This window comes from Homo sapiens, chromosome 3, assembly GCF_000001405.40.
Source record: "Homo sapiens chromosome 3, GRCh38.p14 Primary Assembly".
Lineage (NCBI taxonomy): Eukaryota > Metazoa > Chordata > Mammalia > Primates > Hominidae > Homo > Homo sapiens.
Window position 1 is genome coordinate 190,620,832 of NC_000003.12, and position 22,518 is coordinate 190,643,349.

The 22,518-nt window shown below is 36.5% G+C and overlaps 1 protein-coding gene and 2 pseudogenes across 18 annotated transcripts in view; all 3 read left to right on the forward strand.

Moving 5' to 3' along the window:
- Positions 1-22,518, forward strand: part of IL1RAP (interleukin 1 receptor accessory protein) — a 145,666-nt gene that overhangs the window by 106,747 nt on the left and 16,401 nt on the right. For 11 of the 18 annotated variants that reach the window (NM_001167931.2, NM_001364879.1, XM_047448081.1 and 8 more), the window contains 3 exons: positions 2,513-2,584; positions 6,492-6,618; positions 8,519-8,667. In NM_001167931.2, coding sequence (NP_001161403.1) covers positions 2,513-2,584; positions 6,492-6,618; positions 8,519-8,667 — 348 coding nt within the window. Of the gene's footprint in view, positions 1-2,512; positions 2,585-6,491; positions 6,619-8,518; positions 9,455-13,481; positions 15,392-22,518 lie in introns of those variants that run through there. The other 7 variants (XM_047448085.1, NM_001364880.2, XM_047448086.1 and 4 more) reach the window with 3 other exon arrangements.
- Positions 3,768-4,335, forward strand: GCNT1P3 (glucosaminyl (N-acetyl) transferase 1 pseudogene 3; annotated as a pseudogene).
- On the forward strand, positions 21,332-21,577 carry RN7SKP296 (RN7SK pseudogene 296; annotated as a pseudogene).

Genomic DNA, 22,518 nt, shown 5'->3' on the forward strand with positions numbered 1-22,518 from the left:
AGGCAAGCAATAGAGACTCAGTGCAACACTTTTGTCAAAAGAATGTTTTACTTGGATTAAGTAAACTCTATTTTTCTACATACTGAAACTGCTGTACCTATTGCTGAAGGTATTTGCTGGCAATAATGTTCAACCATTATTTTGCACTAAGAGAATAGGGGGTGAGAAACTAGGAAAGTGGGAAAGGCAATTCTTAGACAGAGTTGACAAACTCCTAGCAAACCCAGAAATAGAGAAGTAGTGTCAGGATATATGGCTTTTGGGGATTACCCCTAAATACCACTGTGTCCAGTGTATTAAAAAAGATAGCATCTCTGGGTATTGTTTTGTCATACCCCATCTTTTAATAGATGGAAACATTAGGCTCACTGACAAGAAGTAACCTGTTTAGAGACACTCAGTGAGTTACTTGAAGAAGTAATTCTAGATCCCAGGTCTCTGCTCAGGGCTTTTTCTACTGGTCTGACATGATTTAGTATAAGTTAGCTACAAACAGCCTTTCATATAGTGCAAATAGTATTCAAACAATGTCGTAATCACTTCTGTTCTTTTTCTGCTTACTTTCTAAATAATGCTGAGTTGGGGATTAATTCATAAGAAAAAAACAGACTAAATTTTAAAAGTCAAATGAATAATGTAACCTTATATTCATCTTAGCAGTTGTTTCTAATATATGTGCTTAAAAGTATGCATTTTGGGGAAGTTGGGAATAAGCATACTTTGTCACTCTGATTAACAGATTTAAAAATTCACAGACAGATCTGGGCACTGGGGGCTTCTTTCTCAAATTTCAAGCAACACAAGTTTGTTGTTTTAAAGCTGCAAAGTGTTGAGTATTTATTATATGCCAGTAGCATATCCTTAATATATATTCCTTAGTTTATTTCTCATAGTGAAACTGCGATATGAGTTTTAATTATCCTCATTTTAGAGTTATGAAAAATTAGCTTTTCAAAAATTAGGAAAAACCAAGTAACTTTGCTTTTGCATTTTTATATGGTTAATATATGGCCAAATCAGGATTAGAACTTGGTTATTAAATCTTTGGAGCTCATACTTTTGAAGACAATACTAAAAACTCTACTCAATGTATTATTTTTAAAAAATTAGGAGTACTGAATATTATAAAGAGCAGCAATCTCATAAACAAACATTCAACTGGTAACTAGTCATCAAGTAGACTAATGTGCCGGCCTTAACATCATGATTGTGAATTTTCCATTGATTTACTCATTAATGTAATACTTATTTAACCAGCTTCCATACTAGACACTTTCGGTAATGTTGTGAAGAAATACAGAGAGAAGAAACAACTGACTAAGGCATGAAAGCAATTAGGTATTATGCAACATAAGACATCTATCTCATGTAAGCTTTGGAAAGCTTTGCTAAGCAATCCGACCTTAAGCATGGAGGGTATTTAGTATGTTTTATTTTTTTCTTTGTAAAGCAAAAACTATTTTTTTCTATGCTCAAAACACTTTTGTCACTAAATGTGTGGCTCTTCTATACAAAGTAATTCTCACCTTTTCTGAGGACATTAACTGCATGTCCTAAAGTTTAATTCAATTTGACACCAGTTATCCAGAGTTAGCACTGACCCCACAGGTGAAGGACTCCTTCCTAAAAGACTGCCCCACCCCCTACTTTAGATTCCAGTCACAAGCAATAGGTTCCCGCGTTACCCACAACTCTGCCTGAGTTGGCTACAAACTTAAGATTCCTACTACTTCTTCCTCAGGTTCTGTGATTTGGTATAACTGCTCACAAAACTCAGGAAAACCTTTTACTTACCCTTACTTTGTTATTATAGAAAATATTATAAAGGATTCAAATGAACATCCAGCTGAAGAGATACATAGGGGGAGTTCTGGAAGGGTCCTGAGTTCAGAGCTCCACCCTCTCAGCTTGTGGATGTCCTTACCAACCTAGAAGCTCTCCGAACCTCATTGTTTAGGGTTTTTATGGAGGTTCCGTCACACAGGCATTATTGAGTAAAAGGACTGGAAATTTCAGCCACACTCCCAAACTTCCAGGGATGGGTGAGAGGCTGGAGATTGTGTTAATCATCTATGGTCTTTCTGGCTACTAGCGCTCATCCAGAAGCTATATAGGAACCCTAGCCACCAATCATTTCATTAGCATATAAAATCCACTCGTTACTCCAGAGATTCCAAAGGTCTTAGAAGCTGTTGTGTTAGGAATTTGGGACTAGAACAATATTAAAACAATAGATGCTCCTATTACCCCTGTCACACAGGAAATCACAGGGGATTTAGGAGCCCATGTCAGGAACTGGGAGCAGTCATCAAACCTGTATTTCCTTTATTTTATGCTTTGCTTGTTTTAAATGACTGAAGTGCAGTAATTGAGTATATCTTGGACTATAGGCCTTCTCTAAAACAACTGACAAACTATGCCAGGAAGTTAGGCAAGATTCAGAGAAGAGCAGAATTTTTAATAAGGCTGCCTGATTTAACATCATCTCCCTTTTTTATTTCCTCTAACACAGGCTCTCCAAAAAATGCAGTGCCCCCTGTGATCCATTCACCTAATGATCATGTGGTCTATGAGAAAGAACCAGGTAATTACAGCTATGTCTCTGAATTTCACTTAGATTCTCTTAATTACAAGGAATAAAATGTCATTTAAGTTAATGCAAGAAAATAGACGACTGTTGTAGAGAAACACATGAATTGAAACTGAAATGTCAGAAACCAAAGCAGCTGTGGAGATCAGTTACTTCCCTGATCCCATGGGCAACTCTAGAATTTTTTGCTTCACTCTCGGTATCTGCTCCCTTCTCCCTCTGCTAGCCGTCTTCCTCTGCTGATGAGTGATTTCTGTTTGATGCAAACTTTAGCTTGCACAGGGCTTTGGTTTGCCAAGGCTGCAACATGGGCACAAGATTTAGACATCCTTCAAGCTCCTGCTCCATTATGAAAGGTCAGTGGTGGATCTTGAAGGCAAGACTGTGAATATAATAGCTAACAACTGATAAAACTAGTAGACATTGACGCAGAACACTATTGAATGCTTACTGTGGCTCTTCGGTTCTTCTTTTAGTTTCCATAATTTTTCATTATAGCCAAAAATCATTGATAACTGACCAAATACGGGATAACATGTTACTCTTTTGACTCAAAGCCTCCCACAGTTAAGTGAACAGGAAACTATAGAAAATTTTAACATTTTCTATGTTGTATCACTTACAATACATCCAGTCCAAACCCAGTGAGAGGTGTTAACCTAAATAACAACAAAGACAATAGCTCTCCAAAAAGAAAAGGATTTATTCAGGAATGAATTGCAGATAGCAATCCAGGAATATGAGTGCTATGGCATCCCATGCGGGAACCATAGCCATACCCAGAAAGCATAGGAACATAACAGTTTTGAAAGGCAAAGTGAGGAAGATTACATAAAGTTGTTCTGAAATAATTATCCTTGGTTATAAGAACCAATAACAGGGTAACATCCGTCCAGGCTTGACTGGCATTTGGTGGTCAGACCTCCTCACAGAAATATTATTTGTTTAAGAATCGCGCTGGCCTTTGTGCAAGATAGTGGTGCTCAGAGTCTTTGTACTAGTTTTTATAATAGGCATGTGTGTGTGAGGGCCCTTTTTATATGACCTCCCAACTGTTTTTCTTTGGAGTGTGACACGAGTGACTCCATTTTGACTCTGACAGCTTTCACAGAGGTATAAAAGAGCATCTGTTTAAAATGTGCTAAAGATAATAGTCAGTTGTTAATGGGTGAAAGCAACGGAGAGGATGCCATTCAATAAAAAAAAAAGGTGGAAAAAGAGGTATGTAGTTGTTCATGGAAAGCTGACAAACACAGGAACTGTCAAAATGCATCCTCCACTTGACACACCTCTTGTTTCAGGCAGTGCCTGTTTTGTGGTCAGTGGGGAGTATGTAGGATATGTATCAGAGAATGAAAAAAATTAAAAAGTTTATGGAGTGGGTGCAAGACACATACAGCCCTGATGCGTATCTCTGGGCCCTATCTAAAGGGTCCCTGAAGTCTTCAGCTCACTTTCCTTAAGCCATAAGTACAACTTGTCGGACATGCACGCAGTTGCCAGGCGGGTCAAGTGGCAGTAACTTGAGGGTGATGTTTCCGAGGGTGCTCCCTACCCACACTGCAGCGGGGTCCTCGTGTGCTCGCGGTGCATTTTTGCAGCTGGCGACTTGAACTGGGTTGTGCACAAGCACCATTGGTTTGCCAATAAGTTTAACCTGGATGTGGAACATAGATGTGGACCTCTTCGCCATCCAGTGTTTGGGTGAGCACCGGAGGCATAAAGCTTTATAGACCTTAAAACACTGACCATTATAGGCAATCTTAGGGTGCATTTTGTGCATCCTTCTTATTATTTCTATTTAGTTCCTCTTGCCAATAAGCATCAGAAAAATTGTATGGAGTCCTCTTTGGGGTAGGGATGCTAAGTCTTCATGCAGAAAAGCTGCATGGTTTCTGCAGAGCACAATTGGCTAGAAAGGCTGTAACATTAAATGTTTATCTAGAATTAACATGAGTAGGAGTAAAAGTGGCTGTGGCATCAGGGCGGGCAGCAAAGCATTCTGGAGCGAGGGGGCTAGGGTGACTGGGGAAGAGGCTGATGAAAAAAATAAATCAATTAAAAGAGTTCAGGGACTTAACAAAATGAGATTTGACCTGTGCCAAAACTATTTTGAGAATTTTAAATATGACATTTTTCCTGGTATGAATAAATTTATAGCAACAAACAATAATAAAGATACAATTGATCTTGTATGTTATGTATGTTGACAGAGAAATTTGATTTTGCTCTAAAAAAGATAATAGTGATCAACATAGATGGAGAACAATGCCAAAAAAAATCAAGATAAGTTTGAAAATATGACTTGCTTTGTGAAACACAGAGAACATGGTAAGAGGCTGAATTTCCTAGAATTAGGTATGGCTTTATATAGTCATATGAATACTCTTCCTGCTGTCAGGGTAAACCCTTATTAATAACATAAATATATTTGTCTACCTGTCAAACTATGCTGACAGAAGGATTGTTGAATCCGTGTTCCCTTTATCTTTCTTAGTGACATACAGATAGGGAAAACTGGAGGGAAAAGACTTAAGGACGTTGCAATGGGAGGGTAGATAGAGTATGGCCACGCAGTCAGGTAAGCCTAAGTTCAAATTAGGGTGACGATATAATTTATCATCTAAACCAGGACACTTTCTGTGAGTAAACATAGCCACTACCTATTAATATAGGTAACCAGGAAAGCAGGCATAAAACAGAACTGTTCTGGGCAAACTGGGATGGAAGGTCAGTCTAGGTCAAATCCTGGCCCTTCACTTATTACTGATTTAACTTAGGAATATCATTTAGCATCCTTAAGCTTCACCTTTTACATTTGGGAAACATAGATTTTAAAAAATACCTTATGGTGCTTTTGTAAGATTAAATAAGACCATTAATAAATATAAATATTTAGCATAATAACTTGTACAAAGTTCTTAGTAAGTATGTTGCTACTGCTGCTGTTACTACTGTTTTCTGCCTAGGGATCTCCCTAACCTCATGTTCCATCTCAGAGGGATAGCATAGAGTTTTCTATTTTTAAGTTATCTTAAAATTTATTGAATGCACCCTGATAGGTGGAGCATTTCAAGGTGGGCCTCCTCAGCCAGATCTCTCTGTGATGGTATTTCCCCATCTTTCCTGGCCAAGGACTGAAGATATGGAGAACCTGTCCTCAGTCACCCTTCTTGAGGAAAATAACAAAGGAGAAGAGCAGTCTCTGGAGGTCTAGGGCTAAAAAGAATATTGTCAGAGACCTTTTTTTTTTTTTTTTTTTTTTTGGAGATGGAGTCTCACTCTGTTGCCCAGGCTGGAGTGCAGTGGCACAGTCTTGGCTCACTGCAACCTCCACCTCCTGAGTTCAAGCAATTCTCCTACCTCAGCCCCCCAAGTAGCTGGGATTACAGGCGGTGCCACCATGCCCGGCTAATTTTTGTATTTTTAGTAGAGACGGGGTTTCACCATGTTGGCCAGGCTGGTCTTGAACTCCTCACCTCAAGTGATCCACCTGCCTCGGCCTCCCAAAGTGCTGGGATTACAGGTGTGAGCCACTATGCCTAGCCTTGTCAGAGACTTTTTAAACAAATATCATCATTTTAGAATTTATTTAGATTACATTAAAAATGGTCACTCTGGTAATTTTATACAAAGTTGATGGCCTTCTTTATTTGGTTTCGCTTGTTTGTTTTGGAATGAAGTATGGTGCATTACCTTATGGGAGTCGACTAGAGAATTACTCATAAGCAGGGTTTCAGGTACACATAACTCGTAGCTTCTGATTAGCCAGAGAGTAGAACCAATATAGCCATGTGAAGGATAAACACTAATGGGCTAACTTTGTCTTTGTTTTTTGTTTTGTTTTGTTTTGTTTTGTTTTGTTTTTTGTTTTTTTTGTTTTTTTGGTTTTTTTTTTCAGGAGAGGAGCTACTCATTCCCTGTACGGTCTATTTTAGTTTTCTGATGGATTCTCGCAATGAGGTTTGGTGGACCATTGATGGAAAAAAACCTGATGACATCACTATTGATGTCACCATTAACGAAAGGTATCATGGGGGCCAGCAAGGGAGTGATTAACCTTTGTTTCTCAACTTAATGATCTCTGATGTGTGTTCTAGTCAATGAAAATAAAAATTCTCATTTTTCCCTATCACTAACAAAAATCGGCAAGATTTTCAAATCTTTGGTGATTGCATCCCAAACCAGGGTTACTGGGCTAGCAATGCAAGGAATAGATGCTGCCTGATGACCAGTGGAGAGCTGAATTAGAATGTTCTGAGGCTGAGCATCTTCATCAGATTGTCCAGAGGACATGCACCCTATTGTCTTAAGCCCAGCAAGATTCACACATTTATGATACCCACATGGAAGTAGAGAGAATACATATCTTACATGAATAAAAAGGTCACAATCAAGGGTTGTGGGTACGTGGAAACCTACAGTGTAGTTGTGTTTTTTCCTTTTCTCAATCCTAGTGTCTGGCCCTATGTATTTGTGCCTTAGGTAATTGTGTTTTGTTTTTTTTTGCATTGCAGTGAGCATGCATTTTCTCTCTCCTCCTCTTTCTTATCTCATATAACCTATAGTTACATTTATAATTAGTAATTTTTAATATTAACTAAATACGTTTGTGTAATTTAAATTTTATTTTAAAGGTAGATGGGTAGTAATATAACTCACTTTTAAAATAAAATAACATTTTATTCCTAAATAAACCTGATTTTTTAAAGCGTTGGCAAAGTGGAAAGTGTGCGTCCTTGAAGACAGAAGGTTCCACTGCAAATGAAGCATACCATTACCGAACAGCAGTTGGCTCACTGCACCAATTAAAAATTTGCAGCTGGTCAGCTATATGACAAAGTAATGTAGCTGGAGGCTCACAGGGAGAATTATTGATCTTTTTTAGGAATTTTTAACACTTTGTAGCCCATCCTTATAATAATAATGAATAAATAACAAGGAAAGTCATGTTGTTCCACCTTGCTGCTGTTGAAACGTACTCAGTGTTCATAGGATAGCAGTGGCGTTAAGCTTAAGCAAAACCAATCAGAGCCCTTAACCAAATTCTCATACCTGACAGTAAGCCTAGTTAAAAAGAGAACCTAGATGGCAGTCAGCTGTAGCAGAGAGATTTTTCTCTGCGATAAGTAAAGGAGTTCAAAGGGATTTTAAATTCTGATCTTGGACCCAAAACACTTGATCTCTGATTCACTGAGAGTTGGATATATTTATTTTTACAAAGTTTACGTGTTCATAACAGCTTTCTCTTTTTATATGTTAGGATTTAACCATGAGATTTCAGATTTCTGACCACAGTATTCTAGCTGTGTTCAGAATCCATGCTTTGGGAATCACTGAAATGCATCAGCTATTCCTATGGGATAACAGTAATACCTACATGAATATTTATTAAGCATTATTCTAATATTCATGCCTTAGCATATTCAGTCCTCAGAATTCCTGAATAAATTAATGCATGTAATGCACTGTGTGGGCATTATGACTTCCCTCTTTTCCAAAAGAGGAACCTGAGACCTGGAAAGATTAGTTATCTCACCCAAAGTATATAGCCAGGAATTGACAAATCCTGGATAAAAACCCAAAAGGACCTGGCCCCAGAAGCTTCTCTCTAAACTGATACAGCATCCTGGCTCAGAAGTTTAAGCAAAAGAGACATTTTGTTTTGAAGAGAGATCTATAAAAAGAAGCCAGTATTGGGATTTGGTCTAGACAATGGGATAGTGTGTAGCGTAGATGGTATAGTATAGTGTTAGAATCTTACCATTAATACTTTGTAATCACTGCATTATAGGTGGCTCAGCTTATCAACCTTCCTCGCCCTCACCTGTAGTGGGGGTCTGTGGTTGCTTACTTGTCTGATTCCTACACAGTCCATAGCTCTTGAGTCACTCTCAAATGCTTTGATTTTCTTCTCTCTATTTCTAGTATAAGTCATAGTAGAACAGAAGATGAAACAAGAACTCAGATTTTGAGCATCAAGAAAGTTACCTCTGAGGATCTCAAGCGCAGCTATGTCTGTCATGCTAGAAGTGCCAAAGGCGAAGTTGCCAAAGCAGCCAAGGTGAAGCAGAAAGGTAATAGATGCGGTCAGTGATGAATCTCTCAGCTCCAAATTAACATTGTGGTGAATAAGGACAAAAGGAGAGATTGAGAACAAGAGAGCTCCAGCACCTAGCCCGACGGCATCTAACCCATAGTAATGAATCAAACTTAAATGAAAAATATGAAAGTTTTCATCTATGTAAGATACTCAAAATATTGTTTCTGATATTGTTAGTACCGTAATGCCCAAATGTAGCTAAAAAAATCGACGTGAGTACAGTGAGACACAATTTTGTGTCTGTACAATTATGAAAAATTAAAAACAAAGAAAATATTCAAAGCTACCAAAGATAGAAAAAACTGGTAGAGCCACATATTGTTGGTGAATTATTAAGACCCTTTTAAAAATCATTCATGGTAGACTTCAAGAGTCATAAAAAAGATTGCATCATCTGACCTAAGACTTTCGGAATTTTTCCTGAACAAATAACAGAAAGGGAATTATATACCTTTTAATATTATTAGAAGCATTATCTGTAGTTGTAAAACATTATTAATAGCAGCCATCCAATTGTATGCAACTAATTAAGGTATTGAATGTTTATTTTCCAAAAATGCATAATTATAATATTATTTTAAACACTATGTATCAATATTTAAGCAGGTTTATAATATACCAGCAGCCACAATTGCTAAAATGAAAATCATTTAAATTATGATTTTAAATGGTATAAACATGATTTCTATGTTGATAGTACTATATTATTCTACAATAAATGGAAATTATAAAGCCTTCTTGTCAGAAGTGCTGCTCCTAAATCAGACTGTGTCTAAAACTTTCTTTGTGTCTCTCACCTAACACAGAATCCCAGAAAATCCCTTCAAGGATGTTTTCAATGGTCTTGAGAAAAGTAATGATGAGTTATCACACATGAAATCATGAAATCAGGTCATTCAGAATCCTCCTGGCTCCTAGTCTATAGAGTGTGTAATATTTCTTCAAAAGTGAATAACATAGCACATAATTGTTACATTTTACAGAGACTTAATGCTTTTTTAAAGCTGATGAAAAACAGGATTCACCTCAAACTTTCATTACAACTTTAAAACTAAATAGCAAAGGCCTGAAATGTATATGCTGCGTATGAAGTACTAGTGAATCAGTTCAGGGTAATTCATTGCTTCTGCTCCTCAGAAGCCAGTGTGAAAAGGAAAGACTGAAGTACATGATGTAAGGCAGTTTCCCAAATTGAGTTCTCGGGAACACTACTAAGAATCAGTATTGTCCTGCAATGCATTATTGTACTCTAGAATCAGAGCACCTGTGTTGAAATTCTGGTTTCTGCACATCCTAACTCTGTGAAAAGTAAATCTCTCTGAGCCTTAATTTCCTTATATTTAAAGTAGACACAATAATACCACTACCTTATAAGGTTGTTTTAAAGTGCTCAGCACAGTTATTGGCATATATACCTATATATGAAATGCTCAATAAATATGAACTCATTATTTCCTTAAGATTTTCATAGGTGTTATTTGACAAAGGCTTTTATCATCAAATAAGTATCATTTATGTCTGGATTTTAAAAAATCAATCAAGTTACTTTAGTTAGGACCCATTCAAGTATTTAATATGTGAACATTTGATGGGAATATCTGCGGGAAGTTGGATTATAGTGGCAGGATGTTTTCATATGTATTTGACTCCAGATTTCTTAAGTATGGAGCTTTTTGTGGGGATCATCTTCTGAGGGATGTATCCTGGGGAATAATTATGGAAGGTGACATAAATTAATAACTTATTGTCAAATGAATAGGATCAGAACAATCAAAGCAAGGTGTAATGTAGGAGTGAAGCACAAGTTTGCCTCCCAGAGCGACCAGAGTAGCTCCCCTTTTACAGAAGCCCCTGCTCTAAATGGTGTAATAAGGACAGTGTCAGGAATGTGAAGTGACAGGTGGATCCTCTAGACTAGATGATCTGTGCTGAAAGCTGATATAAAATCACTGTTTGGTCACACCTGTGTATTTCCGGTGGTACCAGAGGAGTTGTGGTTTTCTTCACTTGGCTTCTATTCTGGGCCAGCTAATGCTGAAATTCAGAGGTTATATCTGAGTTCACATTCATACATTACATGTATGGGACTACTCTAAATTTATTAGCAAAGCATTATATGAACTTCCTCAAAAGGACATCAAGAAAAGACTAAGGCCTGGAATGAGAGAAAGACACTGGTGTAGGTCTTATTGACAGCAAAATTTCATTATAGTCAGTTAAAGCTAAGTATTAAAGAGGAGGCAGTTGTTTTATTTATATTTTATGTATTTATTTTTATTTATTTTTTATTTTTGAGACACAGTTTTACTCTTGTCACCTAGGCTGAAGTGCAGTGGCATGATCTCGGCTCACTGCAACCACTGCCTCCTGGGTTCAAGTGATTCTCCTGCCTCAGCCTCCCAAGTAGCTGGGACTACACAGGCATGTGCCACCACGCCTGGCTAATTTTTGTATTTTTGCTAGAGACAGGATTTCACCATGTTGGCCAGGCTGGTCTCAAACTCCTGACCTCAGGTGATCCTCCTGCCTCAGCCTCCCAAAGTGCTGGGATTACAGGTGTGAGCCACCACGCCCAGCTCATTGTTTTATAATAACAGCATGAAAAGGACTAAGGCAAGGTATCTGTTTAACTTTGTGAGAAACTGCCAAACCTGTTTCCAAAGAGATTGTACCATTTTACCTGTCCTCTAGCAATGTTCACAAATTCCAGGCGCTCTATTTCCTCACCAATTTTTGGAGCTGTCAAACTTTCAAATTTTAGCCATACTGATGGATGCATAGTTTTATTACATTGTGCTTTAAATTTGCATTTATTGGATACTAATGATGTTGGACAATTTTTCATAGCCTTATTTGTCATTAGCTAATATATCTTTTTGTGAAGTATCTGTTAAAATGTTTAGCTCATTTTTGTTACTGGTCATTTGTTTTTAAATTTAATGTATGTTAGGATATAGACACAGACGCATATATATCTCAAATAAAAGTCCTGTGTCAGATATATGAATTGTTAATATTATCACCCAGTTTGTGAATTCATTTTCTTTTAAACAGAATCTTTAAAACTTTGATGGCATTTATTGTATCAATTTATTCTATGCTTAGTGGTTTCTAAATTCAGTATTAGCAATCTTTGCCTAAAGTTAGAAAGGTATTCAGGTTAGAAAGGTATCCTTCTGTGTTTTCTTCTGGAAGACTGGTAGATTTTTCTTTTAGAGTTAGGCCTATGATCCATTTTTTTAATACTCTGAGGTACTGGGTTAATGTTTAGTGTTTTGTTTTTCCACATAGATAACCAGTTGTTCTCATATCATATTGAAAAATCTTTCCTTTGTTTGTTGAATTGTTCAGAAAAGAGCCCAAAAAATTAATTCTATGAATATAGATCTATTTCTGCATTCCCTGCTCTGTTCATCTGTTTATCTATCTTTAGTCCAATGCCACTTTATCCTGGTTAACATAGTTTTAAAATTTAAAGTAAGTCATGAAATCACATACTATATGTCTTCCCCCTTTTTTCTTTTTGAAGATTGATTCAACTATTTTAGGAACCATATATTTTTTTTCGTATAGATCATAGTATCAGTTTGTCCATTTCTACATAAAGGCCTGATGATATTTTGATTGTATTTAATTTATAAATCAGTCTGGAGAAAATTGAAATCTTAACAATACTGTATTTTCCAGTCCATGGATATAATATATCTCTCCATTTATTTAGATCTTAACTTTTTTCAGCATTTTTTCTTTTAGATTTGAGTGTACAGGCCTTGCATATATATTGTTAAATGTATGCCTAAATATTTTGTTTTTGATGCTATTGTAATAGTACTTTTATTTAAATTTATTTTTGAGACAGAGTCTCACTGTCACTTAGGCTGCAGTGCAGTGGCGTGATCTCGGCTCACTGCAATCTCCACCTCCTGAGTTCAAGCAATTCTCCTGCCTCAGCCTCCAGAGTAGCTGCGATTACAGGTCCCCACTACCATACCCGGCTAATTTTTATAGTTTTAGTAGAGACGGGGTTTCTCCATGTTGGCCAGGCTTGTCTCAAACTCCTGACCTCAGATGATCCACCCTCCTCAGCCTCCCTCCCAAAGTGCTGGGATTATAGTCGTGAGCCACCATGCCCGGCCTGTAATAGTACTTTTTAAATTTTCATTTTCCAGTTGTTCATTGAAAATGCAATTAATTGATTTGTATATATTGATCTTGACCTTTTGAACTTTAGGGTGGGGTTTGTTTGTTTAGTTTGTTAGGATTTTCCATATGCTTGATTGTGTCACCCATCATCAAACAGATTTTTACTTCTTCCTTTCTAAATTTCATAACTTTAATAACTTTTTACTGTCCGTTTCACTCTTTTGGACCTCCAGTACAATGTTCTGTAGAAGTTTTGAGAGCAGCCATCTTTGCATTGTTTCCAAATTTAGAGGGCAAGCCTTCAGGTTTTTATATACAGGATTTTTTTGTAGATGACCTTTATTTTCATGAGCAATTTTTTCATTTTCAGTTTGCCGAGAATTTTTTTGTGTGAGTATGTTGAGTTTTGTTGAATACTTAACTGGATCTATTGAGAGAATTATATGTTTTTATTTTTAATCTGTCAGTGTGATGATTTATACTTACTGATTTTGAAATGTTCATCCAATTTTGCATGTCCAGAATAAACCCTCATATTGTCATGATTTATTGTCCTTTTTATATATTACTGGATTTGATTTACTAATATTTTGTCACAGATTTTTGTTCATGTTAAGAATTTTTTTTTTTTTTTTTTTGAGACAGAGTTTCCCTCTTGTTGCCCAGGCTGGAGTACAGTGGCGCGATCTCGGCTCAGTGCAACCTCCACCTCCTGGGTTCAAATGATTCTCCTGCCTCAGCCTCCTGAGTAGCTGGGATTAGAGGCACCCGCCACCATACCAGCGAATTTTTTTTTTCTTTTCAGTAGAGATTGGGTTTCACCAAATTTTGTTCATATCTTTGTTCATGAAGGATATTGGTTTGTTTGGTTTGTAGTATTCTTTTCTTGTAATGCTGTGACTAATGTGAGGGTTATGCTGGTCTCATTACATGAGCTGGGTAATGTTCCCTCTTTTGTGATTATGTGAAAGCCTATGGGTAAAACTGGTATTATTTCTTGCTCAAAAGAATTACTCATATAACTATCTGGGCCTGTTGTGTTTTTTTTTTTGTTGTTGTTTTTTTTGAGAAGGAGTCTCGCTCTTTCGCCCAGGCTGGAGTGCAGTGGCGCGATCTCGGCTCACTGCAAGCTCGGCCTCCCGGGTTCACGCCATTCTCCTGCCTCAGCCTCCCGAGTAGCTGGGACTACAGGCGTCCGCCTCCACGGCCGGCTAATTTTTTGTATTTTCAGTAGAGACGGGGTTTCACTGTGTTAACCAGGATGGTCTCGATCTCCTGACCTTGTGATCCGCCCGCCTAGGCCTCCCAAAGTGCTGGGATTACAGGCGTGAGCCACCGTGCCCGGCCGTTGTTTTCTTTTTGGGAAAGCTTTTAATTATGAATTCAGTGTCCTTTTTAGTTATTGAGATTTTCTGTTTCTTCTTGTGGCAGTTTTGGCTTTCAAGGCATTTTTTTCCATTTCATCTAAGTTGTCACATTATTGGCATACTTTTCTTTAGATTATTTCCTATTATCCTTTTAATGTCTGCAGGATTTTTAGTGATGTTCCACTGTCACTCCTGATATTAGTAATTGGTGTTTTGCCTTTTTTTGTCCTTCATCAGTCAAGATAAGGGTTTCTCAATTTTGCTAATTTTTTCAATGAACATATTTTTATTGATTTTTCTCTGTTGTTTATATATTTATTTACTTTATTCATATACTTATTTTCCTCTTTTTGCATACTTTGCACTTCATTTTCTTTTTGTCAGTCATCCTAAAATGTAAGCTGTATCACTGATTTTTAAGTAATTCTTCTTTTCCAATATAAGTATTCTGAGCTATGTGTTTTCCTCATAGGATTAGTTTAACTAAATCCAACAAATGTTGAAATGTCGAGTTTTTGTTATTATTAAGTTCAAAATACTTTCTAATTTCTGTTTTCATTTCTTTTTGACCTAAGGGTTATTTCAGTGTGTGTTTTTTAATTTAAACATGCTTGGAATTTTCCAGATCGTTTTACTACATTATATATGAAAATTCATTTGAATTTTAGAGTTGGCTTTATGTTCACTCTTGATAGTTATTTGTAACATTTCATATTGTCATTTAAGTTTAGCTAATGTAAAAAATTAGAAAAAAAGTCTGGGAGCAGGTATCTCCAACTTAGAACTACCTGAGAGAACTACATTACGGAGTGGAGAAACATAGGTTTTTGTTCTAGATAGACCTGGGTTCAAGTTCCGGACTCAGTGCTGGCTGTGTATATGAACTAGTACAAGCCTTCCTTTTCTTATCCTTCAGGTTCAATTTCCAGGGTATCTGTGAAAACCGAGGGAATGGGGAATGAGAGCTTTGCCACAGTGCTGCACACTTGATTCTAATTTCTAATCTTTTATTTAATTCTGATGTGTCCAAAGAACATACTTTGCATGATTTTATTCTTTTTAAGCTTATTGGTACTTAAAAAAAAAGTATTTGCAGACTGCCTATCTTGGTAAATGTTTGATATGCATTTGAAAAAGACATATATTTTGTAGTTTCGAGTGGTGTCCAGTAAATGTCAACTAAGAAAATTGGTGTCAGTGTTGTTCATGTCTTCAATATCCTTCTGATTTTTCCAATATACTTTGTTATTCAGTTATTAAAAGAGAGAATGGTGTTGAAATCTTTACATATAATATGGATTTTTCCAATTCTCTCTTCAGTTCTGCCAGTATTTGTCTCATGTATTTTGGAACTGTGATATTTAATACATGCTTATTTAGGATTGACAAGTCTTTTTCATGAATTGACTCTTAAATTGTGAAATGTCCGTTTTTTCTCTGTTAATACTCTGTGTCTAATATGAATGTAGCCATTCCAGCTTTCTTTTTTTTTACTTTTTTAATTAATTAATTTTTTTTTGGTAGAGGGACGGAGTCTTGCTCTGTCGCCCAGGCTGGAGTGCAGTGGTGCGATCTCAGCTCACTGCCAGCTTTCTTATAATTAGTATATGTTTTTTCCATTATTTTATTTTACCTATCAGCATCTTTATGCTTTTATACTTATACTTTATACTTAATGTATGTATCTTATTTACAGCATATTATTGGGTATTGGATCCAATCTGATCATTTCTGGCTTTTAACTTGAATGTTTAATCCATTTTTCTTTAATTATTAATATGACTGCCTTTAAGTTTACCATCTTGCTATTTGTTGTCCACCTGTCTTTATTTTTATCTCCTCTAGACTAATTGGTATTTTCATTGTATTTTATTTTATCACTTTTTTGAGCTTTTGGCTCTTCCTTTTTGTTTGGGGCTTGTTTTGTTTTGTTTCCTCTAGAGTTTATAATATTTTTCCTAAACTTATCAGTTGATCTTGAATTAATCACTTTACATATTTTATGAGAAACTTACTATGGCGTATTTCCATTTCTTCCCTCCCATCCTTTGTGTTGTGCTATAATACATTTTGGTTTTGCATGAATTACAGTGTACCAACATGTATTGTGAAAGTTTGGCTTTAAATAACTGTCTTCTATTAAGTTAAGAACTGATCTTTTTTTAAATTTATTTGCTTATTTTTTATTTCTGACACTATCCATTCTTGGTAACATTTTAATCTGAAGAACTATTTAATGTTTCTGGTACATCTGCTGGTGACAAATTCTCTCAGCTTTGTTTTAATCTGAAAATGTCCTATTTCATTTTAATTTTTATATTTCAAAACTTTACTAAGAAAGTTTTCAAATATATGGAAGATTTTAAGGAATTACACAGTGAGCAGTAATACAGCCTACCTAGATCCTACCATTAACATTGGTTATCTTTGCTTTATCACATGTCTATTCATTCTTCTGCCAGTATATCAATCCATCTTATTTTCTGATACATTTCAAAGTAGATGCAGACATCAGTAAACATTTAAGCTCCTTATCATTATCAGTGTTTTAATATTTATTTGTAGGTTTCTTTTCTAGGTAAAATTTGCATAAAGTAACAAATTGCATAATTCAAGTGTACCATTTGATAATTTTTGAGAAATGCATATATATATGCATTACCTAATATCCTATTAAGATATAGAATATTACCATCACCAGAAAGTAACATTCTTCCCCTTATCAGTCAATCCTTTCTACCCCCACCTTCCCCACCTCCCCAAACAATACAACTGTTTTTATTTCCTTTTTTAGAATAGTTTTTTTTTTATATATTCTAGAACTCTGTGTATGTGGACCCATACAGAATGCGCTACTGTATAACTGTACCTTCACTCAGCAAATGTTCTTGATATTCACCCATGCTGTTGTGTGTATCAGGCATTTTCTCCTTTTGTTTGCCATGGAGTGGTTTTGTTTTGTTTTTGTTTTGTTTAAGAATGCAGAATGATTTGTTTATTCATTCTCTGGGTGGTGAACATTTGGGTTGTTATCAGTTTTGGGGTCTTTTGAATAAAGCTTCTGTGAACTTTCTTATCCAAGTTTCTTAATGGACTACCGCTTTTACTTCTCTGAGATGAATACCTATGAGTGGAATTACTGACTTAGTTTTATCAGAAACTGTTAGACCTTTTTTTTTCCCCAAGTGGCTGTATCATTCCATATTCCACCATCAACATATTTACATCTTAAGGATTTGGTGTTGTCAGCCTTCTTTGTTTTAGCAATTATAGGTGAGTGTATGGTGGTATCTTACTGTAGTTTAATTCTTCATTTCCCTGATGTCTCAAAATACTGAGCACTTACACCTCATGTGCTTATTGGCCATCTGTATGTATTTTTTGATGTGACTGTTCAAACATTTTGTTCATTTTATAAATAGTTTGTATTTTATTATTGAATCTTAGCTGTTCTTCATCTGTCCTGGATACCAGTCCTTTGTCAGACACATGTTTTGCAAATACTTTTCCCCAGTCTGTTGCATGACAATTTGTTTTTTCGTGAAGTGTTTTAATGAGCAGAGGTTCTCATTTTTTATGAGATGTAATTTATTAACTTCTTCTTTAATGATTATTAATTTCTGTGTTCTAAGAAAGCTTTGCTTACCCATAGTCAGGAAGGTTCACCTTTGTTTAGGCCTATAGTCCATCTCTTTTCTTTTTTTTCATGAATGGTGTGTAGTAGAAATTGAAGTTCAGTTTTCCTTTCATACCGATATCCAGTTGTTCCAGCACAATTAATTGGAAAGATTTTTACTTTCTCATTATGTTTCTCTGGTGCCTTTGTCAATATTTTCACAGGATATGTTGAAAGTGTATCTATTTCTTTTCTTTCAGCCCTTTAAGGTATTCCATTGTCTCCTGGCTAATATTATTTAAAATGCAAACGGGGCAGTTTTTGTTGCTGCTGTTGTTCTTGTTTATTTTTGTGCCCTTTATGTATTTGTTATGTTTTTCTTTGGCAGATTTTAAGATCACCTTTTCTTTATTGATTTTGAAAATCAAATTATGATGGCCTGTGGTGTCCTTTGTGTGTGTGTGTTTCTTACTTAGAGTTTATTAAACTTCTCAGTTCTATGTGTTTATATTTTTCCTTTACTGTGAACAATTTTCAGCCATTTTCTTTTCAAATATGTCTAGCTTTCCCCCTCACTCTTTCTCTTCTTTTAGTACTCCAGCTGAAATTAGGATAGACCACTGCTATCCAATTAGTAGTGCCCCACAGATCACTGATCTCGTTATTTTTATTTCTTCCTTTTTCATCCTTTTCCCTGCTCTGTGTTTGTGTAGTTTCCAATGTATGCTGGCCATTTTCTTTGTGATGTCTAATCGATAGCATTTTCTTTATTTCAGAATTGTATCTTTTAGCTTTTGAATTTCCATATCTTCATTGAAAGGTCCCTATTGATATTTTCTATTTGCTGTTCACAATGTTCATGGTTTTAAAAAAATTGAACAAATACACATAGAATACTCATTTTTAGGTGTTTATCTGATAATTCCACCACTTTTGTCAATTTTTGTTCTGTTTTGATTAGCTATCTTTTTATTAGCTAATATAGACTTTTTTGCTTTTTTATATAGCTTTTTAAAAATTATATGCTGGATATTATGGATGTTACAATTTTGAGTTCTGAATTTCGTAAGACAGTGTTAAATTTTGTTCTAGAGGGTAATTAAATTACTTGCATAACTGCTTGCTTTTAAAAAAGCATCTTATCTTTGTTAAAGCAGGTCTAAAATAGCCTTTTCTGTAAGGTTAGATTGGACCTACTTCTAAAGCATGTCATACCTGAAGTCTCTAATTAATACTGGGGAGCTAAACACAGTCTCTTCACTCTGAGTGGCCTGTACCCAACTGTCTCACAGCCCTTCATGTGCTCCTAGAGTTGATCTGTTCCCAGCTATTCTTTGCCTAACCTTTTAAAGTATTCCCCCAAATATGTGTAGCTTTGTATTTGGCCGAAGACTCGAGATAATCCTGTGCAGATTTCTAGAGTTCCATCTCTAAATAGTTCTCTTCTCTATAAATGCAATCTGACTCAACAGCAGCCTTGAACTCTCATTTCTATCTCTTTAGCTCAGTGTGACCACTTTCTCATTTTGGCTTTCCCTTCTCTGTGCCACAGTTTAAAAGGTGCCTTTAATCGAAAAGCCAGAGTGATCGTAGCATTTACCTCTTTTTTGTCTTTTCTCTCACAGATCACATTCCTGTGTTACCAGTTGTCCAACTTTTTACAAACTGTATTTTAGATATGGAAGGAAGGCTAGTCCAGGACTAGTTACTCCTTTAAGAACAGAAGCTGAAGTCCAAAGTGCACATGTTTTAACACACTATAATAGCCAAATCAGTAACATCTGCGAGTTAATTTAGTCATAGGTCTCTGATTTATCATAATTTTAATAAAGCATTCCCTTTGTTTACAACTCAGGAGAATGGTCATTACCACAGTTCCAAAAATTATCCATCAGTCCCAATAATTTAGAACGGAGTAGCCATGGGTTCTGTGGCAGGGAACACTTGGAGGTGCAAGCAGCTGGCATTTAGTTGGGACATGCAGTGGATGGCAAGGCTCCAACTGCAATAATAAAGATGACGGAAATCACTCAGATTTCCTAGAGAAACGTGATTGTAGAGCAAGAACTCAAAACAGGGAAAATGCCAAGAGCTAACCAAGGTGGTTACCTGGAAATTTGGGCTTTGAAGCCAGTTATTTACATTGAACTACAAAAGGGATGGAAAAAATACTGATTTAAGGACTAACAACCATCAAGGAGCTAAATCTGGCTACATCCTGAATCAGAATATTAGTAAAATCAATGAGAGAAGTTTAGGAGTCCAGTTTGGTCGTACTACATCATGTCTTTCTGATAGGAAATTCTTTTTTTATTTTTATTTTTATTTTTTTGAGACAGAGTTTTGCTCTTGTTGCCAAGGCTGGAGTGCAATGGTGCAATCTTGGCTCACTGCAACCTCCGCCTCCCAGGTTCAAGCGATTCTCCTGCCTCAGCCTCCCGAGTAGCTGGGATTACAGGCATGCGCCACCACACCCGGCTAATTTTGTATTTTTAGTTGAGACAGGGTTTCTCCATGTTGGTCAGGCTGGTCTCAAACTCCCGACCTCAGGTGATCCACCGGTCTTGGCCTCCCAAAGTGTTGGGGTTACAGGCGTGAGCCACTGCGCCCGGCCTCTGATAGGAAATTCTTTAGTCTGGCATTGCATCAGAGTGAAATCTTTTTGTCAAAACACCTGAGGGTCCAGCTAGGCAGTCAGCAAATGTAGTCTGAGGGTCACTCTTTCCCTGTAAGCCAGCACTGCTTTACCTGAAAGCCCTGTAGAGAACCTCTTGCATGTGACTTAAGCTATTTAGAAAATCCAGCTAGTAGATTATTTAAGAGTTCGATACGTTAAGTAGCATTAATGACTCCTTTTTATCAAGATTGCTCTACAAAATACAGTCTGTAAATATGACAAATGACTGTATGACACAAAACAGAATTAAAATGCCCCATTAGAAATAAAATGGGCAGTAGTAAAATGAATGAGGCAGGGGAAATTTATGAGGGTAATTGATCTCTCGGTCATTAAGCAGGCTCTCTATTGGCATTTAACAAAAATCCATTTCAGGTACGTGCAGCCAGCAACAACCTCCACCCCCATTACAAAATGTTCATCCAGAGAGAGCCAAAATAACTGAGCAAATAATGAAAATAACAGTGGAAATTACCCTGTTGTACTGTTAACATAACGTACTCAGAAATACCAAGGACACAGTGATTTTCATGCCAGCTATCCAAATAGATCTTAGTAAACTTTCAGCAACTGCACTAACACAGCTTCTGGAATTTATGATGGAGTTTTCTTGTTTTAAGGTGCCATTATTCATGGAAGGAGTAGAAGAGTACCTGGTAATAATTTTGCACTGCTAAGTCCCAGGCTATACCTGTGGCAGGATTAATATCCCCAGTTTAGGATAATAAAATCAAAACTCTATGATTCACCCTTTAATAAGAGAACTTCAGGTTCAGCTCCAGGCTGCTTACCATTTTCTGCTTTGAATAGATGCCTTTTTAAAAAGTGATTTCCTGGATGTGAAGCTGATCTGCCTGCAACATCTGTCACCCCATTGATCACCAGGGTAGATTCAGCTTATCTGGCTGGCTAAGCGGGTGTCCCCTTCCTCCCTCACTGTTTCACGTGACTCCTTCCCGAAGCTGCGCACTCAGTGGAAGAGGACGACCATCTGCAATAGAGGGGGACTGGTCTTTTGTCAAGGGTATAGGAGTAGCTGTGCTCCCCTGCTAGAACCTCCAAACAAGCTCTCAAGGTTCATAAACGTGATTCTATTTCAACTGTTGTATGATCAATAATTGAGCTTCATCGTGATGGTGTTCAAAGATCCCCGCACTTTGGAGTCAGGGAGCCTCTACAGCAATTCCAGCTTGGAATGAGATTCTTCTAAGCTGTGTCTCAGCAAACATTTAACATCTACAATGTTCTAGGTGCTTACAGAAGCCTTCCCTCACCACCTTATGCAGTACACCGCCCTTGCCCCAGTCCCACCCTTCAATCACCTCTATCACATTACCATGGTTTATTTCTCTTATAGCACTAATCACTATTTAAAATTAACCAGCTGATTTATTTCTTTACATATTTACTGCCCTGAATTAGAATATTAGCCACAAAAGGGCAGAGACCCTTTCCGTCTTATTCACCATTGTATCCCCAGAAGCTTCTGGCAAATGGTAGATGTCAATAGATAATAATCAAATTGACTAATACACAATTTAAGCCACTCCTGCTTCAGACCCAGTAAATATACTGTTCCTCCTTCAAACACTTAAACTTCATTATCACAAGCTAATAAAGCAACTAAATAAAATTGTGAAACATAATTTAGTAATAGACTTCTAAATATCCCAGAAGTGTAAAATCTTATATGTGGAAATGTTCATTGAGATACTAGGCATTCTAGGGATATCATGGAAGAAAAAGACATAATCTCTACCTGAAAGACTGTAAAGGTATAGTTAATGAGAGGGAGTGAAGAAGCTGACCTGTAGACAAATTACAATATAATAAGTAATGCTGTAATCAAATGATAAACAAAGGGAAGAGTAAAAATTTCTACACGGGAGAGCCAGGTTTCAATAAAAATTTTATTCTATAAAAGCTTATATAAAATAATGATATTCGAGCATAGACTTGGAAACTAAAAAGAGAAAGGACTTCCAGCCAGAAGTCACAGCATGAGAAACGGGCATCATATTA